At 53.3% G+C, this 25,402-nt stretch overlaps 1 protein-coding gene across 1 annotated transcript, besides 1 other annotated feature; it reads left to right on the top strand.

Moving 5' to 3' along the window:
- SCN2B (sodium voltage-gated channel beta subunit 2) lies at window positions 1,674-15,507 on the top strand. Its single transcript, NM_004588.5, has 4 exons — window positions 1,674-1,951; window positions 9,562-9,728; window positions 10,018-10,228; window positions 11,227-15,507. Exons 1-4 carry the CDS (start codon window positions 1,882-1,884, stop codon window positions 11,424-11,426), a joined length of 648 nt encoding a protein of 215 aa, NP_004579.1. The 5' UTR covers window positions 1,674-1,881; the 3' UTR covers window positions 11,427-15,507.
- Window positions 24,372-24,872: an enhancer, noted in NCBI's record as "H3K4me1 hESC enhancer chr11:118024156-118024656 (GRCh37/hg19 assembly coordinates)". NCBI's record gives its function as "activates a minimal SCP1, AML or CMV promoter by ChIP-STARR-seq in naive H9 embryonic stem cells {active_cell/tissue: H9 hESC(naive)}" and the evidence as "EXISTENCE:reporter gene assay evidence [ECO:0000049][PMID:30033119]".

Raw genomic sequence — 25,402 nt, 5'->3', positions numbered from 1 at the left:
ACTCTTGAGGCTGAGACACAGGAATTGCTTGAACCCAGAAGGCAGAGATTGCAGTGAGCTGAGATTGCACCACTGCACTGCAGCCTGGGTGACAGAGCGAGACCCTGTCTAAAAAAAAATAATAAAATAAAAAAATAAAAAATTGAGATATCACATGTAAAGTGCTTGGCACAGAGTTTATGCTCAAAAATATTAGTTGCTCCCTGTTTGGTACACAAAGGGCCCATCACAAATGCAGGTGACTGCTGCATGCGAATCTCTGCCCTACTTAACCATCTCCCCAGGAGTATGGGGGTCACCTCTGCTTAGGACCACCTTGGACTCCACCCACCAAGTTCTCCTACTTATGACGTTAGCTTATTTTTTCTTCCTTCTTCAAAAGAAAAGTTTTAAACATACACAAAAGAAGAGAGAACTATATGACAAACCCTTTACACCCATCACCAGCTAGTTTCAATTATCAAGCAAAACAACTAGTCTCGTGTCACCTATTCTCCCATCTCTTTTTTTCGTTGAATATATATATATGTATTTTTGAGATGGAGTCTCACTCTGTGGCCCAGGCTGGGATGTAGCGGAGTGATCTCGACTCACTGCAACCTCCGCCTCCCAGGTTCAAGCAATTCTCCTGCCTCAGTCCCCCCAAGTAGCTGGGATTACAGGCACACGCCACCACACCCGGCTAACTTTTGTATTTTTAGTAGAGACAGGGTTTCACCATGTTAGGGAGGCTGGTCTCGAACTCCTGACCTCAGGTGATCTGCCTGCCTCGGCCTCCCAAAGTGCTGGGATTACAGGTGTGAGCCACCCCGCCCGGCCACCCATGTGTGTCTTTAACAGATAGAGATGTTAAAGGACAAAACCACATTTTATCAGACCCAACAAAATTAAGAATGATTCATTAATACAATCTACTATGTAGTTCATATTTAACTTTTCCCAATTGTCTCAAAAACTTTTCTTTCCTGTTGATTTGTTTGAATCAGGTTTATCCAAAGGCCTGTGTTACATTCAATTGTAAGATCTCTTGGGTATTTTTCTATCAGCCTGCTTCAACATGTTCTGTTTTCAGAGGAAACGCTAGAATGAGGAAAGCATTACCCCTTGAAAGTCTCTCCAACTCACTTTCCTGAACCCTTTTCAATAACACAAAAACAAGCATCTCCTTTTTTTTTTTAGGTTTTTTTTTTTTTTTTCCCTCTGGAGGCAGGGCCCAGGCTGGAGTGCGGTGCAGTAGCTGGGACAAGAGGCATGCGACATTATGCCTGGCTAAATTTTGTATTTTTAGTAGAGATGGGTTTTGCCATGTTGCCCAGGCTGGTCTTGAACTCCTGGACTCAAGCAATCCATCCGGCCTCCCAAAGTGCTGGAATTACAGGTGTGAGCCACTGCGTCAGCCTGGGGGTGTTTTTAAATGATAAAAGGTGTTTCCCTTTCCAGAATCTTTAAAATAAATGGATTCCTCTAATAGCTTTCAAAATCCAACAATCATCCCAGTGAAGTCAAAAAGCAGGGTTTGTATTATTTCTTGTTTTAGAGGGTAAAAATTTCTGGGATTTTGTTCTTTTCAAAATGACTTTTTTATGCCCTCCCACCTGCTTTTTGAAATCCACCAACCACAATATTTACCCCATCCCCCTTTTCTCTCCCCCCCATCTCTCTCTCTCTCCTTTACACACTCCCTCTCTCTCTCTTTTTAGCAGCAACATACAAGCCGGCCATATTAGAGAGATGGAAATAAAGCTTCCTTAATGTTGTATATGTCTTTGAAGTACATCCGTGCATTTTTTTTTAGCATCCAACCATTCCTCCCTTGTAGTTCTCGCCCCCTCAAATCACCCTCTCCCGTAGCCCACCCGACTAACATCTCAGTCTCTGAAAATGCACAGAGATGCCTGGCTACCTCGCCCTGCCTTCAGCCTCACGGGGCTCAGTCTCTTTTTCTCTTTGGGTAAGTTAGACACATCTGCATGCTCCCGAGGGTTCAGAAGTGTAGCCGCAATGTGAAGAGGATGGGGGCAGGGGATAGGAAAGAAGACATTGCTAGCGCTTTCCCTCTGTGTCCTTGGGAGGGGAGGTGCTGGGGACTGGAAGGGACGTTGCTGGGGAGTGCAGAACCCTGGGACTACTTAGTCACAGAAATGTTGGGTCAGGGGATCTGAGTGTTGCTGGGGGCTGACAATTGTCAAGGGAGGTGAATCTTCTCTGGATTTCCCCTAAGTGGACCTACGTGGCGGTGGGGCAGAGAGTGGATTGACCTGCAGTCTCTTCAGGGATTATTTTTTGGAGTTGCTGCAAATGCGGGGTCCTGGGACTTAATGCTCCCTTAAGGGGCTTCTTTTCAGAAGCTTGATCCTGGTGGATTTAGGGTATTAGGAGAGTGTGCAGGGGAGCTGGTGGCAGAAAGTTGAGTCTGGGTCTGGCTTCTTGGCACTCGGTCTCACTGATCTGTTGGAACGTGTGTGGGAGTAGGTGGGAAGCGGGCTTGGGGAATGATGTCTGGGTTGGGAGGAGACCTGCTGAGGCACGCACTGATGGAGAAGGCACCTTTGGCTTGGGCCGGATGGAATGGAGGAAGGGCCAGGTGTAGAGATTCAGGAAAAAAATGGAACCCACAGGCTGAGCGAGGTTGCAGCCCTTTAAATCCAGCCTCAGAACTGCCCAGCCCAGTCTTGCAGACTGTCCTGTCAAGTGTTTGTATTTGACCACTCAGAGACTTCCTGGTGGGGAAGTGGGCTAGAAAGTTATTTGCAAGCCTGCTTTGTAGAGTTTCATTCTTGCTCCTAAACTTACTTATTGCTGGAGCAGCAACTGAGAGTCAAGTCCAAGGACTGTTGATGGAACTATTCCCCACCACAAAGGCTCTCTCTCTTTCTGTGGTGTGATGTGCTGGGTTTGGAGTAGGAGTGCTAAACACAGACAGTGCAGAGGCCCTGCCAGCCTGCTTTGCTGAGTTACTTGGCATATTAACATCAGAGCAGGAATGCTATGGAATCTCTGGCAGGACCTGGGTTTCAAGCCACCTTTGTCATTTACGTAATGATCACAGGCAAGTTACTCAACCCCTCTGAGCTTCAGTTCCCTCCCGGGTAAACTAAAGAATGCCTACTGCCTGACGTGTTTGTGATTTGGTGCATGGCAGGAACTCAACGATGGCTAACATAAGAATGCTTTTCGTGAGCCCAGGCACTGTGTATCTTGTTTAGCCCTCACAGCAATCGGAGGTAGATTCTATTATACTCAGGTTACAGGGAGGAAACAGATGACTATGGTAACGGGAGCTGAAATTTGAACTCCCTGTGTCTGACTTCAGCACATTCTCTTAAACGTTGGATTCCACTCCCCAATGTTCAAGAAATGGCACTGCTATATTAACAGTACCTAATTGATCAGAGTCTCAGGACAGGCTGAAAGAAGGGGAGTTGGGTGAGTGGCCTGTTGTAAGGAGGCCCAGCTGGAGGACAGGACCCTTTCCTCAGGAGTTAGGAAGCACTTCGTGCAGGAGAGAAGCCGCCTGGTGAGAGCCATGGCTAAGTAAAGATAGAAAGGGGGCTCAGTGACCAGGACCCAGAGCTCTGGGCTAGGGTGAGGAAGAGGGAGTCTGCGATGAAGAGGTCTGAGTGTTTGGGGTGGGGAGATGGTAGTGGGAGGAAGCTAAAGCTTCTGCAAAGCTGAGTGGGAGAGGATGCAGGAATGGGGACCTTGAACTTGAACTTGATTGGTGCTGTAATGAGGCATGTCCCTGGCACTCCAATGCTGAGGGCCGAGTTGACAGTGGAACTTTGGTGGTGTTGCAGTAGCATCGATCCCCAGGATGGAGGATGCCACAAGTGACGAGGGAGGGGACTCTGTCGGGGCTGGGCTTGTGGGGATGACTATGGAGGTGGCAAAGAGAAAGGGCAGGTGGGCAACCAGCTCTACCCACGGCAGAAGCATATGAGGCTAGTTTTAGCCAGAAACAATTCAAATGACTGGGCTTCCCTCAAGTTTTTCTTGAGACCGTTGACTCCACAGTCACTGGCCTGCTTACCAATGTATGGATTATGTTAGTGGAGGCATAGAAAGTGGAGTCTGGGCTGAGCATGGTGGCTCACGCCTGTATCCCAGTGCTTTGGGAGGCCGAGGTGGGAGGATCGCTTGAGGCCAGGAATTGGAGACCAGCCTGGACAACATAGCAAGACCCTGTCTCTACAAAAAAAAAAAAAAAAAAAAAAAAAAAAAGAAAAGAAAAATAAGCCAGGCATGGTGGCATGTACCTGTAGTCCTAACTGTTCCAGGAGGCTGAAGAAGGAGTATCAAGAGTTCCAGGCTGCAGTGAGCCGTGATCATGCCTCTGCACTCCAGCGTGGGCAGCAGAACCAAACCCTGTCTCTTAAAAAAAGAAAGAAAGAAAGAAAGAAAGAAAGTGAAGTCTAGTCCTCACTCTAGCCCACTGCACATATCTGCTGCTTGTGGTGGTGGGGACCCAGACATGGAGAGAAAGCTGTCTCTTCTTCCTTTAGTAGACTTTATTGAGTCCCCACTCTGCCACACACTGTCCTGGGTGCCAGGGATACCAAGATGAATAGGAGTCAGTTCCCCGGAGCCTCTAGAGGGAAACAGGCCCATGAACAAATAATAACAAGACAACATTGTATGTATGGCAACAATAATAGCAATAATGCTCATCATAGTCGCAGCTGACTTTTGTCCAGGCCATGTGCTAGGCACTGTGCTGAGCTTCATACAGGTAGTAAGTCATTTAATCCTTCGACAGCCCTATGAAGTTGGGCTTATTGTCCCCTATATTACAGATGAGGAAACTGAGGCACTGGGAGGTTAACTATCCTGCCATTCTGCCCTCAAGTCATGTGGAAGAGATAGGAACAGGGCTGGGGTGAGGACAAGGACAATGGGGAAACAGTCACCGAGGCTAATGCCCTGTAAGCTGGGACCTGAAGAATAAGTAGGAGGGGCCCAGGGGCAGGAGGGCAAATGAGCTTCTCAACCTGAAGCAAAAATACGTGCAAAGGCATGGAGAAGGGAAGGAAGGTGGTGTTTTCAGAAAAAATCAGAACTGGGGTCACTGGAGTGAAGGAGACCTGGGGGGATGGGGGCTGGCAGGGGATGAGGCTAGGGTATAGGTTGGTCCCAGATGCCAAAGGGCTTGGAAGCTGTGCCCAGGAGCCTGGACTTGATCCTGAAAGCAGTGGGTAGCCGTTGGAGGTCTGGAGGTGAGGAGTGATGAGGGTGGGTTGCTCCTGGCTGCACGGGGATGGACTGGAGTGGCCGGGGTTGGGGAGGCCCTTGAGCAGGAAGGGTCTGGATGGTAAGGCAGTGCAGGTGCGGAGATACGGGCTGGATGCCACACTCACCTGGGAGGCAGGGGCTGCCCCGGGAGACAGTTCATCTGTTTAGACACTTAAAAAAAAAAAAAAAAACCAAGAAGAAAATAATTACCTCATAGGTTGCTGTAGGGTGGAAAGAGGAGTGAAGAGATTAACTTCCAGTCTCTGCAAGAGACAGCATTTGGCAGATGAGCAAATTTTTATAGTCTCTGCAAGATGGGCTAGTTAGAACAGTGGATGACACGAGGCCTGAGGGCCCAGATGTGCCTTGGAGACAGCGGGTGGCCCGCCACTGCTGAGGTTTTGGATCTAAGATCAGAAGCCTCATCCCGTTGATGATCTTTTCCCTTCTGTGAGTTGAAAATCAGGAGACACAGGCCCCAGACCTGGTCTCAAATGGGACAACCAGGAAGATTGTGGGCCCCCCTTGTATGGAGGTTCCTTTAAATGGTACAATTCCCTGCTGGCGGGCCTGCCTGGAGTTGGACCTGCCATATAGTCGGCAAGAGATCGGATGCCTTGGAATGGGGCTCACTTCACCACTCAGCTTCAATGCCTCAACCCAGTCTGGAGCCAGGCAGGCTGGCTTCAGATTCTAGCTTCGCCTCTTACTAGCCGTGAACTTGGGCTCGTCTCTTAACTTCTTTGTGCTCCATCTTCCTCATCCGGAATGTGGGAGCGATAACAGGTTTTGTTAGTATTAAATGAGGTGATGTATGTAGAGTATGTAGACAGTGCCTGGCTCGTTGTAAGCATTTTGTAAGGGTTTGTGGCTGTGATGAAGTCCTTTCTGTGGCCTTGGCCATGCATTCGGGTGCTTTCCCGAAGCAGGAGAGTTAATCAAGAGACCAGAGTTTTGCTCACAGCTCTGACCTTGTTGAGCCATGGTCCCCTCGTCTTTAATGAGGGCCCGGACTGGCGGGAGGTCTGAGGCCAGCACCCTAGAGCTGCTGGGATTCTGGTGAGGCCACAGGCTTACGTGGAGATATTGGATTAGGGGCTAGGAACCATGATTCTGGCCTCAGCTTGTCCCTATTCTCTGTGTGTGGCTCTCATGGCCTTTCCTCACCGGTAAAACAATGGGGCTAGATCTACGGTTTCTGATCTCAGCTCCAGCTGTGGCTCCGGATCCCATGCTCGCTCCGCAGGATGGAACTTGACGTTTGACTCTGTGACCACTAGAGGGCACGCGTGTTCCGCCCGGTACCTTCTGCAGGGCCCCGCTGCAGGGTGGGGAGGGGGAGCCCGCATTGCACCTCTCCGGCTGCCCCCGTCCTGCCGGCCAGAAAAGGCGCCCCCGCACTCCTCTCTACCCTGCCCTCCCCCACGGCAGGGTGCTAGCTCCTTCGAGATGGTGAGGTTCAAGTTCTAATCTGGAGCACTGCCTTGGGCTTGGTGGGGGGCAGAGGCCCGCACAGAGTCCGCCGGGCTTCGCAGAACGCAGACTTTTTGGTCTGGGGAGCCCCTGGGAAGATGATCGACCTTCCAAGGGAAGAGCTAGAGGGATAGGACATTCCTGGGATGGGAGGTAAGCTCAGGACAAGCACTGTCAGTGCCTTCCCTCAGAGCTCTGGGCCTCTGCAGATGAAGATGCTGTTGGCATTTTCTGCACACCTCCTCCTTGGCTGGTGCGCTGCCAGATGCTTTCAGAACGGCGATGAAAGTACAGGAGATGGAATTGGGCTTTGTTCTTCCTGACAGGGGCCCACTCAGCCTCCCCAGTCCTTATTCCCCTAATGAGCACTTAAGCTCACACCTGGAATCCTCGGCCCTGGACTCCTCCTCTAGAAAACGCAGATGGTGACAGCTGTCTCCCAGCTTGGAGAACAGATGAGGTCCCCATGCCTACCCCTCCATCCAGGGCTGCTGCCAGTTCAGAGAATCTCTGGTTCTTAAGTCCTGCCATTTGCCCTGGTCACTCGGGCCAGGGGCGGGGCTGGCAGAAGGGTGCTCCAGGCAGATGTTGATTTCCCTGCAGGCTGCAGGGCGGCTGCTTCTACGGCTTTGTGAAGAAAAAAAAAAAGTTTGAAAAATAGGAGCCCTGCAGGCCTGGGCTGTTCGCCAATTCCTACGGACTGGTTGGAGTGGGGCAGTCTCCAAGGTGCCCTCAGGCCAGGCCAGAGGCTCCCCTAGAAGCCCTTCCTGTTTGCAAGGCAGAACTTGGGGAGAATTGAGGATAATAGCAGCTACCATTTGCTGAATACTTACTGCTTCTTTTCATTATCGAAACAACCCTGGGAGATCGGTGTCACCAACTGCGTTTTACAAAGGAGTAGCCCCCACTCTTCCAGCTTCTGATGCTGGAGCTGGGATTGAACCCAAGTCTAGTCTCATCCCCTTGTCTATGCGATTCCCACATCAGCCTCTATCGGGCTCATCTGGACAGCCTCCCAGCAGCCCCCATACTCCCCAACCCTGCAGGGACCTCCTATCACACTCCAAAGAGGAAACTCCTAATTCCATATCCTAGCCCACAAAGCCTTTGTGAGCTGGTCCCTGCCTAACTCTTGGACCTCAGGTCTCACCATGCACCCCCTCGGTCATTCTGCTCCCTCTGCCTCAGGCACACGAAACTCCTTCCAGCCACTGGGACTTGGCCCCTGGGAGTACACTTGCCTGGGAACTCGACTCGCTCAAAACTTCAACGGGCTCACTCTCTCACTTCAGGTGGGCGCTGCCTGTGTGTCCCCCTCAGAGCAGTCTTCCCTGCCCACCCGACATCAGACAATGCCCCTCTACCTTGCCGAGTGTCTCTACCTACAACTCCATGATTTTTTTCCTTGTTGATGTCTATCCTTCTCCCCAGAATATAAGCTTCATGATGCAGTGACTCTGCCTGTCCTGTTCACAGCAGTAACCCCCAGGGCCTAGACTAAGTGCCTGGCACACAGTAGGTGATTTATAAATATTTGGTAAATGAGTGAATGAATGATGCTGAACACTGCTGTTTATCCTCCATAAAGAAAAGGAATCTTCTGAGATAAGGTTCTTGAGGATACGGGCAGAGCATCTTGGAATGAAGGCCAGGGCTCAGGTGAGTCCAGTGAGGTGCCTAGGGCGTGACATTTAAGGAGGTATTTCCATGACCAGGCAGTGGATGCCCCTTAAGTGTCTTGCCCCAGGCCCCTCGCTCGCCTCCCTGTAGGCTCTGTCCTGCTTAGAATGTCGGAGTGGGACAGGCCTTTCTCAGCCCCAGCACCAAAGTCTCCTGGCCTCAGTCTGGTGTTCCTAATAGGACTCTGCAGAACCAGCAGCTCCCACCCTGCCTGCCTGTAGCAGCTCCTTGCTGTGGTGTCTCCAGGTTGACATCTTCAAGAGGGACTCCTGTCCCTGCAGACCCATCAGCTGGTCCTTGGAATGGTGCCTCACCTTCTGGGGCACCTCTTCCCTCCCACAGCTTGTCTGCCCTCTTTCTTGTCTGTTGCAAGCCTGAGGAAGGTAGGGGGCTGGGCTGGGCTGGGACACAGCTTTGCTCTGTCCCTGGGGTATGGAGAGCGAGGCCTTCCAAATCTCCAGCTGTTCTCAGTCTGCTGTCCTGAGAACAGAACGGCAGGGGAGCCCTGCAGTTTCAGCTGGAAGGGTTTTGGCCCAGCAAAGATGGTTAGAAGTGGTGAGAATAAGGGGGAAACTGAGGCAAGCATAGTGAAGCCCCTTGTCTGTGGTCTTCTGCTGGCATGTGACAGAACTGGGGCAAGTGTGGTGGGGGCAGGGGTGCCTAACAGTGGTTCTAGAAAAGGCTTGAGGCCGTTTGGCTGCCCCTGGCTTGACAGATATAGATGATGTGACGATTTGGTTTCTCTCCTCCCCTACCTGCTCTGTGGCCCCGCTTTGCCCCAAAGACCACATCTGGTGCCCCATATGTGCCTGCCCACTCCAGGAGTATGGACTGGGGAGGCTGAGTGGGCCCCTGCCAGGAAGAACGAAGTCCAATTCCATGCGGCTTGCACCTGTACTCCCAGCTACTTGGGAGGCTGAGGTGAGAGGATCACCTGAGCCCAGCAGGTCTAGGCTGCAGTGAGTCATGATTGCGCCACTGCACTCCAGCTTGGGCAACAGAGACCCTGTTGCAAATAACAGTAACTCCCACCTCCTGATTAACTGGAGCTGTCAGGGACCCAGTCCCCTCCCTGTGGCTCTGCTCTGCCTCATCCCCCAACACTCCCAGGCACAGAGGGCTTGCCCCTCCCCAGCCCTTTCAGCCAGACTCCTCACCAGCTTGTGGCTTCATCTGCAGTGCCACCAGGACGGAGCATGGAGGTCACAGTACCTGCCACCCTCAACGTCCTCAATGGCTCTGACGCCCGCCTGCCCTGCACCTTCAACTCCTGCTACACAGTGAACCACAAACAGTTCTCCCTGAACTGGACTTACCAGGAGTGCAACAACTGCTCTGAGGAGATGGTGAGTCCTGGGCTGAAGGCAGGGGCAGGGGAGGAGGTAGGAGCCCCATGGCATGAAGCCCCTGGTCCCACCACCGGCCCCGGCACTGCGCTAGGGCCCCAGAGGACCCTGGGTGGGCTGCGTGCTCTGGAGGCTCTTGAAACAAGGTGTGCTGCGCATCCAGGTGCCTCACAGAGGTAACTGCCTCTCTTCCCCAGGAAAAGGGTGGATGGGAAGAGGGGGCATCCTCACTGTCCTTGTAGTTCCTTGCTCATCCAGCCACCCATCCTGTCCCTTGCTCCAACCCCAGTTCCTCCAGTTCCGCATGAAGATCATTAACCTGAAGCTGGAGCGGTTTCAAGACCGCGTGGAGTTCTCAGGGAACCCCAGCAAGTACGATGTGTCGGTGATGCTGAGAAACGTGCAGCCGGAGGATGAGGGGATTTACAACTGCTACATCATGAACCCCCCTGACCGCCACCGTGGCCATGGCAAGATCCATCTGCAGGTCCTCATGGAAGGTGAAGGCTGGGGTGCCAGCTGCGGGGCCCTGACCTTTCCCACCCACCTACTCTCTGCGGCATTTGCTCAGGGCACTTTGGGGAGGCCAGGCCCTCCTGAGGATGGGAGCAACCATTTGTGCTGCATAGAAGGAATCCATTTTCTTCCCTCTAGTCCTCAAGAACCTGGGAACATGTCCCAGAGAGTCCTGGTAATGATACAGAATATAATCCCAGTCTTAATAATGGGGCTTGGTGTGATGGCTCACACCTGTAATCACAGCGCTTTGGGAGGCTGAGGCAGGCAGATAGCTTGAGCTCAGGAGCTCGAGACCAGCCTGGGCAACATGGCAAAACTCCATCTCTACAGAAAATGCAAAAATTAGCTGGGCATGGTGGCTTGCACCTATACTCCCAGCTACTTGGGAGGCTGAGGTGAGAGGATCATCTGAGCCCAGCAGGTAGAGGCTGCAGTGAATCATGATTGTGCCACTGCACTCCAGCTTGGGCAACAGAGCAAGACCCTGTTTCAAATGACAACAACAGCAATAATAATGATGGTGATGATGGCAGCTTTCATTTATTGGGCACCTCTATGTCTCAGTCATAGGGCTAAGCTCTGTTTATGCATTATCTCATCCTCATGAAAACCTTTGAGGGAGGTACTATTATTAAGCCCATTTTACATGTTAGAAAACTGAGGTTAGAGAGGATAAGTTACTTAAGGTCACGCAATTCGTAAGTTGTACAATTAGGACTCAAATTTGGGTCTGTTTGATCTTAAAGTTCATGCTCTTAAATACTTCATCACACTAGCTCCTCTGGGGGCTTTGGGTGTCCTGGGATTTGGAGGTGGCGGCGCTTCAGGGTCAGTCACTGGATTGCTTTTCGGCTTTGCTAAAGTCCTGTCTGTGGAGGAGAGTAAAGTCAGGATGGTTCCACGCATGCCACGGGTAGTGGGGTGATGGGGGAGGCCCCTTTCCCAGCCCTGGTGCTCAGTGGCTCTGCTTCCTTTCCAGAGCCCCCTGAGCGGGACTCCACGGTGGCCGTGATTGTGGGTGCCTCCGTCGGGGGCTTCCTGGCTGTGGTCATCTTGGTGCTGATGGTGGTCAAGTGTGTGAGGAGAAAAAAAGAGCAGAAGCTGAGCACAGATGACCTGAAGACCGAGGAGGAGGGCAAGACGGACGGTGAAGGCAACCCGGATGATGGCGCCAAGTAGTGGGTGGCCGGCCCTGCAGCCTCCCGTGTCCCGTCTCCTCCCCTCTCCGCCCTGTACAGTGACCCTGCCTGCTCGCTCTTGGTGTGCTTCCCGTGACCTAGGACCCCAGGGCCCACCTGGGGCCTCCTGAACCCCCGACTTCGTATCTCCCACCCTGCACCAAGAGTGACCCACTCTCTTCCATCCGAGAAACCTGCCATGCTCTGGGACGTGTGGGCCCTGGGGAGAGGAGAGAAAGGGCTCCCACCTGCCAGTCCCTGGGGGGAGGCAGGAGGCACATGTGAGGGTCCCCAGAGAGAAGGGAGTGGGTGGGCAGGGGTAGAGGAGGGGGCCGCTGTCCACCTGCCCAGTGCTTGGCCTGGCAGTGGCTTCAGAGAGGACCTGGTGGGGAGGGAGGGCTTTCCTGTGCTGACAGCGCTCCCTCAGGAGGGCCTTGGCCTGGCACGGCTGTGCTCCTCCCCTGCTCCCAGCCCAGAGCAGCCATCAGGCTGGAGGTGACGATGAGTTCCTGAAACTTGGAGGGGCATGTTAAAGGGATGACTGTGCATTCCAGGGCACTGACGGAAAGCCAGGGCTGCAGGCAAAGCTGGACATGTGCCCTGGCCCAGGAGGCCATGTTGGGCCCTCGTTTCCATTGCTAGTGGCCTCCTTGGGGCTCCCGTTGGCTCCTAATCCCTTAGGACTGTGGATGAGGCCAGACTGGAAGAGCAGCTCCAGGTAGGGGGCCATGTTTCCCAGCGGGGACCCACCAACAGAGGCCAGTTTCAAAGTCAGCTGAGGGGCTGAGGGGTGGGGCTCCATGGTGAATGCAGGTTGCTGCAGGCTCTGCCTTCTCCATGGGGTAACCACCCTCGCCTGGGCAGGGGCAGCCAAGGCTGGGAAATGAGGAGGCCATGCACAGGGTGGGGCAGCTTTCTTTGGGGCTTCAGTGAGAACTCTCCCAGTTGCCCTTGGTGGGGTTTCCACCTGGCTTTTGGCTACAGAGAGGGAAGGGAAAGCCTGAGGCCGGCATAAGGGGAGGCCTTGGAACCTGAGCTGCCAATGCCAGCCCTGTCCCATCTGCAGCCACACTACTCGCTCCTCTCCCAACAACTCCCTTCGTGGGGACAAAAGTGACAATTGTAGGCCAGGCACAGTGGCTCACGCCTGTAATCCCAGCACTTTGGGAGGCCAAGGCGGGTGGATTACCTCCATCTGTTTAGTAGAAATGGGCAAAACCCCATCTCTACTAAAAATACAAGAATTAGCTGGGCGTGGTGGCGTGTGCCTGTAATCCCAGCTATTTGGGAGGCTGAGGCAGGAGAATCGCTTGAGCCCGGGAAGCAGAGGTTGCAGTGAACTGAGATAGTGATAGTGCCACTGCAATTCAGCCTGGGTGACATAGAGAGACTCCATCTCAAAAAAAAAAAAAAAAAAAAAAAAAGGCAATTGTGCGGAGCCAACCATCACTGCCATTACACTCACATTCAATGGAAATTGATTAGGCCTGAGAGAAGGAGCAAGAGGCAGAAACACTGACTCTGAGACCATGACCTTGGAAGATCCTCAGAGATCAACTAGCCAAGTCACTCACTTAAAATGGGGAAACTGAGGTTCCAACTGACAGAAACTGAGGGTCCTGCCCTCTTCTCTGGCTCCTCAGTCTCCAGTTTGAAGCAACAGAGCCATCATTTTCCCAGTGGGAGGGGCCTCTGTGTCCTGGTCTATGATGGGGCGAGTTGGAGGGGTGGGCTTCTCTAGCCCTGCCCCCTCCCAGGAGCCCAGCCCCTCTGGCCAGGACTGAGGAGGAGTGGAGGGAAGCAGGGAGGGAGGGAGCAAGTGTGAAGGGCACAGCTGCTGGCAAATGCCCCATTCCCTGCCCCAGCACTTCCCAGCCTTTCCAGGAGCTCTGCCCCACCCCTACTCAAGGAGTCAGGTGCCCAGGGTAGGGAATAAGTCTAGGAAAGGGGGTGGAGACAGGACCGTGACAGTCTCAGGGACCAATCCCTGCCTCTGCCCATCAGATTGCCAATTTGGGGAGACAGCAATATCATCTGGGAGATTCAGCTTAATTTGCTTCAATTCAGCAACCATTTATTGAGCATCTATTATGTGCCAGGCACTGTGCCGGGCACTGGGGATATACACAAAGCCATAAGCACTGGGGACTGCCAGGTTGGCACTGTAGGGACCAAGATTAACTTTTTGGTGCATCTAATTCCACCTCTGCAAGACACTGCTTCCAAGGCTACAGTTGGGGAAGATGAAGAGATTCTAGAATCTGTGCCCTGGGAAGGGAGAAACAGCAGGGAAGAGGGGCAATACAACAGGGTCAAGGGTGCAGAGGCCAGGCAGAGTGGGTGCAGAGTGGGGGATGGGCAACCAGCCTGGTAACACCTGGGTGAGGTGAGCGAGTCAAGCCCATCTGGAAATGCTAAACTCATCAGCTCAGTACCTAACTGCCAATCAACACACTGCCAATGCGGGTGGGCTAAGCCGCCAGGATGCCTGCAGCAGATGGACGCTGCCCATCCTTGAGCCAGCCAGCTGGGGGCAGAGAGGTGGGTGGCGGGCACCTCATGCCAGCTGAGACCAAGAGTGGTTGTATACATTTCTGCAGCTTGCAGATTTCATTTTTTTGGTCACCCTTTAAGTGTCCTTCTCTCCCAGGATGAGTGAGGAGCTGTGCTGATGTTGGGAACTTATCTTTTTCCAGGATCCATAACATTTAGGGGAATTATTTGCGGGCTTTCCTAGTGTATTCTAAGAAGTTCTAACTCTCCATCAAGAAGCCCAAGATTCCTGGAGTCTTTTTTTCCTCTGCCCTGATCAACTGGGGCCCAGGAAAAGCAATGTCTCTTCACGGGCCTCAGGGCCCCAGCAGATGGGGCTGGGTCAGGAACCATCTCTGTCCCAGGTGCTCAGCCCTCATATGCATTTTCTTCTGGAGCCTCTTAGAATCTCCTCCAGAGGACTCATAGAGCTGCCTCCCCCAGGATGGTGAAGTTGGGAGCAAAATGGGGCTTCTGTAAGTAGAGGTGGAAAACCAGAGAGATGTTTCCACAGCAGCCATTTCCCTACCCTGTTTCCTAACTTATGCTGACAAGTTCTTCCTCTTCCTACCGTGGGGTTCGAGCCCCACTTCTGGTTGCATGTTCCCACCACCACGCTCTGCTGGTTTTAGTCGGCTGACTTTCTCAACTGCCCCAGCCTCTCCTGCTCTCTCAGAACCTCCCTCTGCCCCCACCCCCCATCTGTCTCTTCCTCCTAATTAAGGGCCACTGCAAAGAGAGACGGGCTGGCTAACCCATGGGATTTAGCTTATAAGAACAAAGCACAATTATTCAGGACTGAACTGCTTTGAGGTGCCTTGGAACTGGCTTTGGAAATAGCTATCTGCCCCCTAGCTATGGACTCTTCACAGTTATTTCCAGTTTATAAAAAGGAAAAGCTGATCGGATCCATGTTTCTCTCTGCGAGTCTCCTTGGGGAGGTTGGGCTGGTAAATATTTGCAAGGTCAGGTTAAGCAGACAGACAATTGAAAATACTGGGCAGGTCCAAAAGGATAGTTCCAGGCCATAGGAATGGCTTGGTGCAGTTAACGGGTGATGAAGCAAGAAATCTTCCTTCCTACTTATGTCTTAAAGATGGACAGCCTGTGTCTCTTGCTGTGCCTCTTGCTGGCGTCTTCCTTTATTGAAGCTTGCTGATGCACTGTACATAGTCTCTCTCTCTAGGTATAGATATATTATATATACAAATATCAAACATCTCACCACACCCACCCCAAAAGTTACACTGTGTGTGTGTGGGGAGGTGTAATAACTTCTCAGTGTTTTGAGTTGATTCACCAAAGGCAAATTTTGGAATGTTCTTGCGCTTTGTGCACTTGGAGGGGAAAACCCAACTACATATGCACTTTCTTGGTTGTGTGTGCTATAGAGAGGTTGGAAGGGGTGGTTGGAAGGGGAGAGAAACTGAGATGGCCCTCTGTGACTCGACTGCTGGGATGTATCTGCTTTTGGGAGCAGACTGAGTTTCTTTTGCAATTTGTCTTATTGTTTGGGTCTACTGGCAACAATAAACTATCTCCCCTGAAAATCCCTCGAGTGTGGCTTTATTCAGGGGTTCAGGGCAGGGTAGGCTGATGCTTCACCAGGATCTTAACTGGAACCCTAGGTGCTCCTTTCCTGGTAATCCCATTGGCGCTGCCAGATCTCCAGCATCTGAGGGCCTCAATGCCCCTGCCTCACAAGGGGAAGGTTGTCTACCCCACACTTGTGCCCCCACAGATGTTTCATCCCTTTGCCTTCCCCAACCCCCTGGGGACTCCGCTCACCCTGGAACAGAGTGGCTGAACACCTACTTCTTGGAGGGCTCTCGATTATTTTGGGGATGAAGACAACCCCGGAAGCTCCCAAGGCTGACTGTCATGCGGATGTTGCCTGTCCTTTGCATGGGCAGACAGGCCATCCTTCCTGCTCTGTTCCCCAAAGGTGTTGGATTAGACATTTCTTTTGCCTCCTCTGGACTCAGAAAGAATAGATGACAGCTGGTCAGAGTCTGCCCTCATGCAGTTCATGGAGAAGGGTGGCTGTGGGAAGGTTCAGGTGGCTCATGTCCCATCTACATACTGCTGGATCCTATATATATGTGCCAAAGCAGCCCTAAGAAGTTTAGGACCAAGGGCAACCTCCTGGCTAGGGGCTCCACTGTCCCAGACAGGCCTTTTTTTCTCCCTTGCTCTTCATTCTTCCGTCTCTTTGCATTTCTCCCTCTCTCCCTTGCACCGCTCTCTCTCTCTCTCTCTCTCTCTCTCTGTCTGTCTGTCTCTCTCTCTCTTGCCTAGGAGGCTTACCAGGCTTACCTTCCTCTTCCTACTCTGGGGTTCGAGCCCCACTTCTGGCTGCATGCTCCGGCCACCACGCTCTGGTGGTTTCAGTCTGCTGACTTTCTCAACTGCTCCAGCCTCTCCTGCTCTCTCAGAACCTCACCCTGCCACCACCCCCATCTGTGTCTTCCTCCTAACTAAGGACCACTGCAAAGAGAGACGGGCTGGCTAACCCTTTTCAGCAAGAAAAACCTCAACTTGCTGAATGGCAAGGACATACTTAGGTAGTTGGTTCCTACTTTTCTCTTGGTTTCTGTCTCATTCCTGTCTGCTCCCTGGAGACCCAGAGACCCTCACCAGTGGTTAGTAGTTAGGAATACGCCAAGAGGACCTTGATATTTGTGGTTCTAATGGCTTAAAGGATGACAGCTGCCACTTGGGAGAGAAGTCAGACTGGAGGTGGCAGTGTTAAACAAAGGTGGCTGGTATTCAACAGAGCCAAAGTTCCCTTGGTTTAAAAGGATGTCTATCCCTGGAGCCTGAGTCCTGCCAAGAATGGGGTATTGCGGGGGGATGCTTCTCTACTTAACAGATAGGAACATTTGGGCGAGGGACACGGACTGAGCAGCAGAAGGCACCAGGGATTCTGGCTGGTTCCTTCCAGGATGGACACAGGCCCCTGATATTCAGCCAGGCCAGCAGCATCTTCCTCACTGGGCTTCTCCCCCAAACACTTGGTTTTGGGGACCAGGTGGCAAAGGGATTAAGGAACAGTTTGCCCCAACAGATTGAGAGTTCTTCCTACGGTCAAAGAAAAGGGAGCAAGGCCCTGGGGAAGAGGGTCTTGGTAGTCACGAACTGGGCCTGGTTTCTGGGAAGGCTGGATTTGGTTCAGGCATCTCCCCTAAATTTGGGTTCTATGGCCCAGCCTGCCTGGGGCGGGGTGGATGAATTTCGATTGCAGAACAAGCTGCCTTGGTGGGGGAAGGGATAGTTGCCACCCTGGTGCTCAAAATTATTGGTCTCCTGTGCCCCTCAATTGAGGTGGAGGTACCTGTACAAGAGCTTCCCAGTTCCCACTGGACACCCCATGCATGGGGTATCCCAGTGGGATAGCCATCGGCCTGCCCATGGATGGTTGCTAGGGAATAGGAATCTGGGCCAAAAGGATTAGGGGTGACGGAGTAGACCTTTACAACAGCAGAGATGGGAGGGCCCCCAGGAATACCTGTCAAGGCCCCTCGTTGTTCTAAAGGGGAAACTGAAGACCAGAACAGAGAAGTGACATGCTTAAGGCGACATGATGAGTCAAGTACAGACAGAGTCTGGCAGGCTCCAAGTCCGCTATTCTTCCTGCAGTCCACAGGTGCTGGGTCTAGTGCTTGACACAGCAGCATGCACCAGCCCAGACCCCTCCCCTTCCCTCCCCAGCTTGGCCTGAGTTGGTGCAGAAGAGGCACTCATGCTTCCTTAAGGGCCCAGTTTTCAAAGCTGAGGTTCAGAGAGGGAACGTGATTTGCCCAAAGTCATACAGTTGGCTAATGACAGAGCCTGGGATAGAACCCAAGTCTCTCTTCCCCCAGTCAAGGCCTTCCCTAGGCTGAGCTGATGTCCCTGGGCAAATAGGCTCATGTCCTTTGGCACTAGTTCCCAGAGTCCTGTTCCCACCCCCCATCAGCATGATGTGACTCATGTCAGTTTGCATATGGGCCCCTCTTAGGCTACTTATCTCCCTCCCATCTTGCAAGGGTGGAACGTAGTATCAAATCATCTTCAGGTGACAGCAGCCTGGGATAGTGTCTGATGGGTGCAGGCTGGGCAACTGGACACAGAACTGGACACAGAACAACTGGCAGGTCCCTACTAGGTCTCCTGGCCTTCTTCATTGGTTCTTTGGGGGCTCAGAAGGTCCGCACGGGAAGGGCTCTGCAGGAACTCTTCTCAGAAAGTCCTGGTAGCACTGCTGCCCCCGACTCTTCCTACAGAATCACACCCCAAAACCCACCATGTTTTAGTCACTCCTGGCTGCCTGCTACCAAGCTGATGTCCAGAGTGCCAGCTACTCCTTAGGACAGGCTCCAGCAGCCCAGTGGATGAGGGCTCCGGAGGGCCTGGGGAAGGAAGCCCCGCTGAGAACCACATCCTGGCATCCTGACACGGCACATGGATGTCGTGGGGGGCGGTCAGTGGAGCCTAGCCTAGGAGAAAAGGGAGCAAGGCCCTGGGGAAGAGGTGATGGGAATAGATGAGTTGGGATGGGGGAGTCGGTGGCCTGGTATGGCAACTTTGTCTTTTCTCTGGCAATAATGACCTTCAGGTCTAGGAGGTGCTGGGGAAGGAAGGGCAAGTGGGTGCCAGGCATTCAGCTTGGCTACTTTGGATCCCATGGGAGGGGCTTTCCCCTATGGCCCTGGCAAAGTCACCTCTATCCCAACCACAGTTGCCTCTGCTTCTCAAGTGGGACACATTCCCAGTAAACACGTGGCAAAGGGACTAGGAACGGTTAGCCCCAACAGATTCAGAGTTCTTCCTGTGGGCAAATGGGCAGAAGAGTAGGGTGTGTTCAGCCAGGAGGGGAAGTTGACCGATAGCGTGGCTGTTGACCGATAGAGTGGCCCAGGCTGTAGCCTCAGGGACAGGGATTAGACTTGTCCCATTCTGTCCCAAGGCAAGACATTAGGACTGGCAGGGAGAGACAGATATTCATCCAGTGTAAATCAGAGCTGTGCAGAGGGTCGAGTTTTTGAGGTAATGAAATCCCCATCCCAGAAGGTATTTAAGCATAACTTAGGGGTGTTGTTGAGAAAGTTCCTATATCAGGGCATACTTTTAGATAGCCTTTAAGTCTACTGATAATGGCCCTCTGCAGTCTTCTTTTTAGGACTCAAATCATAGAAGTGGGATAAAAGTCTTGCTTGCCTGAAGATAAGTATAACACATACACCGGCAAACATGCACACGTGTCTGGCCCTCTGCTTTCTTACTCAGTTGTGGTCTTCCCCAGGTCCCCTCTATACCCCTGTACCGCTTTACCTGGTTCTTCTGTATCTGATCTATCAGTGGTGGGGACGTGGGGGGTGTGGGTGAACCTCTATGTACAGTGAGAAATACGCTGGGAGAGGGTGGGAAATTTGAAGACAGGTGACCTTGGGGAGCTTCTTTCCAAAGATGAGGCCAAGTCTAGCTTGCCTTCCTAGGCCCACCAGCCAGGTCAGAAACTCCTGTCTTTCCAGTCAAGACTGTAGATGGAAGATACAAGTCCTCCCTGCCTCCCTATCCCTGAGTGCTCCCAGCTTTGCCAAATCTGTCAACATCTCCCTCAACTCCCCCCATAGCTTGCTCATACCCGTGCAGGCTGTCCACTGGAGCTGAGCCTGCTGGAAGGGCTAAGGGGTGGATTTCATGGCCATCTTGAACTTGAAGGGCATTGAAGGAGGAAGGTATGGGACTCTTGGCTAGATCAATAAGAAGAGCCACTGTTTACTGAGTACCTACTCTGTGCCTGGTGCTGATCTAGGTATTTGATGTATATCAGCTTACTTCATCCTTAGGGCAAGGCCCCGTCCAAATGCATTCTTTTCTCATTTTTACACATGAGGAAACAAAGTTCTGCAGTATTATAAGTATGTGTACAAACAAGGTGGCACAGCTAGGAAACAGCAGAGCCAAATTCACACTCAAGGCCTGATGAACCAAAGCCATTACATGACACCAGGAGAAAGGACAGTGAACTGGGCTCTCGCAGACCGAACACTTGTGGGTGAGGGAAGGGTGGCTTGGAACCAACCCTAAAATGACCATGGACAACAGCATAAGGGCAAAAGTGTGAGCAGAGGCCACGCTTTCCCGGCGGGCCCCTCCTGCCCACCCCTACATGGCCTGGCCCTTGGCCCCACAGCTCTGTGCAAACAGCTGCAGCATCTGCTGGCCACCTTCTCCTCCCCTGGCTTCTCGCTCCACTCCCTTCCTGCCAAAAGCCTGTGTATCCTCTGCTTCACCTACTAAACAATTGTCTCCCTGTCCCCACCCGTCCCCTTCAGCCTGAGCCACATTCCAACTTTAAGTTGCCCTCGACTCAGGAAGACTCTCCTCTGCTCCCAGGCCTCCTCTCTTCCTCTCCTCTGCCCCCCACCTTCTCTGCCGCATTTCCTCTCCAGGTCCACATCCTCCCTCTCCCCTCACTTTGCAAGACCCACTGCTCCCACATTAAAATGCTCCTAATGCATGAAACCAGAGCATCTGGGGAGTCCTGCCGGGTACTCCGCGCTGTGCTGTGCTTCTGGCTTGGCCAGTCTGTCTCAGGTGCCCATTTCAAAGCCAGGCCAGGAGGGCATCTGACTATTCAGCTGACAAGGCAGTCCTGTGAGCGGCAGGCTGCAATGAATGACAAACCTTCCCAAAGCCTCCAGTTCCCAGCCCTCCTGAGCCACCATCCTCCCTTGATGGGCAGGCAGGGGGCCATGGTGATCCATGAAGCAGAGAGAGAAATATAGCTCTGGGGTGCTGGGTAGGGTGGTTGACACCCTGTCCGGGGGCTTCAAACCCCACCCCAATGTGGCCTATAGTAAAGAGATGTCCAGGACTCACCCCATCTCGGAGCTACTGCAAGGGCAGCACATACCTTCTCCCGGAAGTGGGCACACACCCTCTCCAGCTCGGGACTGGCCGGTGAGCATCCCTCTGGTCAGGATATTTCGGCTCCCTCCTCCCTCTGCCCTCCTCCTTCCAATGAGCTCATCTGTCTGGGGCTCCCTACCCATCTCAGCCTGAAAGGATGTTTGGACAGAACCTGGCAGAAAACAGAAACAGAGGAAGGGAGGGATTGAGGAGGTGGCTGCCTACCTGCCTCTGCCCAGAGCCCCTAGAAAGCAGAGAGGAGTGAGAAGAAGCGATCGACTCTCCTTGGGAGAAGGATTCAGAAAGAGTTTATCTTTACTCCAACTCGCTGGTGTGAGGTGGACTCTGTGCGGTGTTCCTTGCTGGACCGCTAAGCCGCGTGCCTGCGGGTTGGTTTGGTACATGCTGTCCTGTTAACCCCCTCGGCACCTGCCAAACTTCAGTGGACGCTGAGACTCTGGCTAGGGGCAAGCCAGTGCTCTGAGCTGGAGGAAGGGAGTGGTGAGTAGGGAGGGGTAGAGAGAAGACCTCAGTGCAGCAGGAGGAAGCTCCTAAAAGTTTGTCCAGGTAGCGTCCACTCAATCCCTACCCAAGTGGCAGAAGGGTTTGTGGACATTTAACTTTAAGTTAGTGCAAGTAGAGAATCTCCTGCCTGCAGTTTCCCCATCCTGAGACCGGGGCTCTGGTTACCACCAGGGGGTAGCTCGGGGAAGGCGAGATGCACCTCTTGGTGTTGTTCTGGGGAGGAGCTGTGAGGTGGGTGTGTGTGGGGGGAGGCGGGCTCCCTGCAGAGCCCGTTGTCCTCCAGCTCCAAGAGCCGAGTCAGCGCTGCGCTGAGCTCCCTCTGTTACCTGCAGTGCCCCAGCAGGAGCGCGAGGGTTTATGGGGGAAGAGGAGGGAGAGGGAGGCAGGCGGGGAAGGGCAACAGGGGAGCCAGAGTGGGAGGAGGCTCCCTGCCAGGCTCTTGTTACTTAGGAGGAACTCCTCTCAAAATAGCGCTGGAGACCTCCTTGGAGCTCTCTATTGCCCTTCCTCCTCTGCACAGGGTCTCGATGCCTTCCTGAGAACTGACAGGGGAGGAAGCATTCCATGTACCCACTCTGATCATCTGTACAAGGTGATCCTGCTCCAGGGGGTGAATGCCTTCCAGTGTAAGAGCGGCTCTGGAGGCTGGCAGCTGGAGCTCAGCCCATTCCTGCCCATCCGACTTCCCCTGGGGCATGCTGATTCCTCTCTAGGCTGGCCCCTGCTGGAAAGCAGGCACCCACCCTCCTTCCTAGCTCAGATCCAGCTCCCTAGGAGGGCAGGGGAGAAGGAGACCAACTGAGTCAGTTGCTTGGTCCCTGGGGATTTTTGTTGGGCTGACTGCTTCAAAGAACCCTACACGAATCCCCAAGGAAACAATCTCCTTCCCCTTAAATCTAGGCCTTGTCTCCTGCAGCCTGAGAGCGGGCAGTTCTCTGACAACTCTGTGGCACAGGGCCCAATCGGCCTCTGCATCTTTGAAAACTGGCTCTTCAATGTATTTCTGAGCTAGGCCACCCAAGAGCTGCGTGTGCATTACCCCATCACCAGGAATCGGGCTTGTCCGACCGTGGCTGGGGACTGTGTACCCAGATACCACCCCTGCCCTCCCCCAAGGGACTTCCAGCAGAAGGGACAGGAGCCAAGGTGTGGTGTCTGTTTCTTCCTGTCCCTATCCAGTGTGACTGGGGACTCTTGAGCTGGGTGAAGAGGTGCTAAATCAGGGAGGGCCCCTGGAAAAGATAGTTTTGAAAAGGTAAGAGAGAAGGAGCTCTGACCTTTTGACACCCTCTCCCCTGGCATCCTCAGTAGCAGCCTCTGAGTTAGATCGATGGGCTAGGGTTTTGAGAATTTTTGAGGAAAGTGCTCTATAAATGTAAAATCCTCTAGCCCTTAAGCTAATGCATTTCCCAAGCACTCTTTCTGCCCAGCTGCGGAGCCCTCCTGGAGTTCTTTAGAGGAAAGCTGGGGGTGTGGATTGGGGAAATCAAGTAATGGGGGAGGTTCTAACGCTGACTTTAACAGTAACTGTGTAGCTGACCTCGGGTTACACATTCTACCTCTCTGAGCCTCTTTCTTCATCCCTAAGGCATGAGGGTTTCCTATGGACCCTTCAAACTCTATGAACTGGTGAGGTAGCAGTGAGGTAGCAGGGAAGGTGGGGAGAGGACACTGAGGACGTTGGCCATCTTTTCCTGTCACCAGGATCTAAAGATATCCCTGCAGCTCTGTCCCTCTCCTCCCCCTGCTCTGGGCAGGGGTCACTTTCCTTCCCTTTGGCTCACCTCCTCTCTCACCTCAGTCTAGGGTTCTGAGAAACATGACCCCTGCTGTAAAAATAAAGTGGTCAGTTTGTATGCCTGGCCCTGCGGATCTAGTGCAAGGACCTCCTGGGGAAGGACAGGGTAAGCCTGCGGACCTGGAGACAGATGGGGAGGCTTAGCCTCAGGGCCCACAGACCTCTTTAAGTTCAAATGTACTGAGTGTTTATCCTGTGCCTAGCTGTCTGCTGAGCACTTTTACATGCAATAATATCTCATTCCCTCTTTACAGCTAGGTCCACTTTTGATGTTGCAAGTCCTGGAGCAAAGGTACAAATGGAAATTATACATATGTCTAAATATTAATCAGGATAACAAAGTGTTAAGATTGATGTTTTATCCTCTGCCTTTAATTACTTTTCCTTCATGATAACCTGGAAAACCATGTCCAAAATGAAATTTTCAGGCCATTCTCTGGTACACACTCTTCTCTGGTCCTGTAGTGAGAGGGGCTCTTGTGCATGCCTAGGGTGTGTGTCAAGTTACATGCACTCCCCATCACCTGCATACAGCTGTCCCTTGCCCACTGCTCTAGCCCTTGAGTGCACACCTGATATGGCCAGCCCTTGAAAGGACAGATCTGGGGAATAGGGAATTCCAGAGTTCCTGATACCTGGAGTACAGTCTAGAAGGGGAGGAGGTGCATGCCCCCACCTGCCCTGCCCCCTTGGTCCCATGGACTCATTCTCCAGTGAGGGGCATGGCCAGAGGAGGGCCAGAATGAGGGCCTTTAAAACCAGAAATCAGGGCTGAGGCTTCTGTTGCCCAGGTCCAGGGGTAACATCGCTCTTAATAAGCCTAGGAGGCAAATATCATTGCATTCACCATTTTATAGGTGAGGAGCAGAGGCTCCCCCAGAAGACCATGTAACTTGCTCAAAGCCATACAGTCATAAATGGTGGCGCTGCCAGAGCCTCTGTGCCACTATAGGGAAGGCAGCGACCCTCTCTCCTGAAAAAGCAAACAGACATTCAGCACTTTGCCTGCAACCTCAAGGGGTCCGTGATCACGCCGAAGTCCACCCAGAGACCCCTCGTTAAGAAGGCGGTGCGTTGGTGTGCCTGCAGCAGAAGTCAGACCATGAAGTGGGAGCGGGCTTCCCAGTCCGGACCAGTCCTAGACAGTAAAGAGGGCCTGTGATGCAGGGAGGGTCTTGGATGGTTGGAAAGGTGCTGAGGAGGAGATCGACTCATTTACAGAACCACCAGCCCAAGTAGCACCGCTCAGGTGAAACTCTTTCACTTGGGCCTGTCTGGGAAAAGGCTTACTCGTTCACAGCCTCGCCTCAGCCCTCTGACCTGGTTGTCACCCTGGACTCCTCCACCCCTACCCCAAAAGGGAGGCCGAGGGAGTCTGCCGTTCCGAAGAAAACAGGAGAGTTGGAGGAGGGCGAAAAGGCAGCATCTGAGGGGGACGGCCTAGGTAGGAAAAATGAGAAGCAGGGGTGCAGCGGGAGGGTGAAATGGGGCGCAGGACACAGACCAGGCGCGGACCAACCTGCTCCCTAACCTGGAGCGTGGTGATTTCCAAGGGGTCCATGGAGAAATGTGGGGCGGGGTGGCGTGGGGGTGGGGGAAGGGAGGGCCGGGGCAGTTTGCAATGGGAAAGCTCTGTTCCGGGCTTCCTAAAACAACCGCCGGAGTTGCTGAGCGATGGGGCAGAAGGTGGCGGGAGCGGGTCCCGAGGCTGCACGCGCGCCATGTCGCACGCCACCGAGGAGGCGCAAGCTGCAGTGGGCAAGCCCGCACACGCCCACCCGTTGCGGCAGCGTCCGCTGCGGACTTTAAAGCGGTCCCTTGGCGGTCCTGGGAGAGGGAGCCGCTAACCTTCCCGTGTTCCCCCAAGCAAAGCAAAACAGTCTTCCAGCAACCGAAAAGCTCCACCTCTACTCCCCCCGAACTATGCTCCTAATTGGCAGCTCAGCGCATGGGATGATGCGGGTGGCTGCAGGCCGGCCCTGCAGTGCCAGCCGCAGCAGCCCAGCCCCACTGGAGAGGGAGTTGGGGGCACGGCGTGGTCCCGGGGCTCCGGGACCGCGAGGCGGGGTGCGGCAGGCAGGGTGCGCAGCGGGCGGGGGCTCCCCGGCCTACGCGGCGGCCACCGCCCCTCCTGCGGCTGGAGCGCTTCCAGAGCAGAGGCGCAGCCTCGCTCGCCGCTGCGCTCGCTCCGTCTTCCTCCCGCTCCTGCTCCGGCTCCTCCTACT

This window comes from Homo sapiens, chromosome 11 (assembly GCF_000001405.40).
Source record: "Homo sapiens chromosome 11, GRCh38.p14 Primary Assembly".
Classification (NCBI taxonomy): domain Eukaryota; kingdom Metazoa; phylum Chordata; class Mammalia; order Primates; family Hominidae; genus Homo; species Homo sapiens.
This window is presented reverse-complemented; position numbering and strand designations above follow the sequence as displayed.